Below are 1,355 nucleotides of genomic sequence, written 5' to 3' on the forward strand. Positions count from 1 at the left end.
GCAGGGTGAGACATGTGGGGTTAGAGCAAAGGAGAAAACCCTCCCCTGAGAAGGTGAGAGTCAAAGGTGATGAAGAGTCAGGAGGGTTCTCCCGCATAAATACATGCTGAAAGATGTACCTTCCTTACTGTCCCCAAGAGTATGAGGGGCATTTGTCCTGTGAGGCTTTCATTTTGATATTCTGCTTGTGTGAAAAAGACAATGACTGGGTGCTGTTTGAGTAAGGTGGGATTTGGCAGGAGGGTGGGGGCTGGGCCATGAAGCAGAGAGATTGGTGAGACTGAGGTAGTCCTATGTCCTGCTTGGTCAGGACGCTGGGATTGTATCTTACAGCCTGATCCGTTCTTATCCAGTGACATGAACATTAAAAATAAATAGGAATGGAAACTTCCATGTTTGAAAATCATCCAGCGGCTTATAACATTTTAGCTTTTCATTTCTTTTTTTATTATTTAAAAAGTTATAAGCAAATCCTTGAAAATGTGTTTGTTCGTGTCCCTAGGACCCATTGTAATCCCTCTGCTATGTAAACAATCTTATCCTTGAATGTATCAGTTTGCAAATCAGATCTTCAGGTACTTTTCTTAAATATTCTGCATTCCTCTCACCTAGATTTCCCTAGAGGGTTTTTTTTTTTTTTGTTGTTGTTGTTGTTGTTGTTTTGAGATGAGGTCTGGCCATGTTGCCCAGGCTGAAGTGCAGTGGCTATTCACAGGCACGGTCCCACTACTGATTAGCATGGGAGTTTTGACCTGTTCCGTTTCAGACCTGGGCCTGTTCACCCTTCCTTAGGCAACCTGGTGGTCCCCACTCCCGGGAGGTCACCATATTGATGCTGAACTTAATGCAGACATCTGATGGTCATAGCTCACTACAGCTCAGAACTCCTGGGCTCAAGCGATCCTCATGCCTAAGCCCACCGAGTAGCTGGGACTACAGGCATGTGCCACCATGCCCCACTAGATTTCCCTTGAGTTTTGAGAGGGACGTCTGGTCACTCCATCATAGTTCTTCAGCCTTCTGGATTTTACCCTCAGCCTCCTTGCACCTCCTCAACTGGTCAGGCCATAGAGACTACCATCGTTGGGTGGAAACCATGAAAATCCAGTTCCTCTTGCTTGCCTAGGGCCAGGGATGGTGAGTGGAACAGGGAGTCAGGAGAATTCTCCATCTGGGAACAAAGTTTTAGGCATTACAGGTGAGAATTACATATGCTTCCCTCAACCCTACTTAGAAACATTGTTATACATGGAGACTAAGTGCTAGAATGCTATGATGGTGGAATTTAACGCATTTGTGGTTAAACAAGTTTTAGTAGGATCACTTGGGCATTCAAGGTCTTTGAAAGTTATCAT

General features: G+C 44.9%; 1 pseudogene; it reads right to left on the minus strand.

Annotated features, from left to right (window-relative positions):
- Nucleotides 603-987, minus strand: RN7SL7P (RNA, 7SL, cytoplasmic 7, pseudogene; annotated as a pseudogene).

Source organism: Homo sapiens, chromosome 7 (assembly GCF_000001405.40).
Source record: "Homo sapiens chromosome 7, GRCh38.p14 Primary Assembly".
NCBI classification, from domain to species: Eukaryota; Metazoa; Chordata; class Mammalia; order Primates; family Hominidae; genus Homo; species Homo sapiens.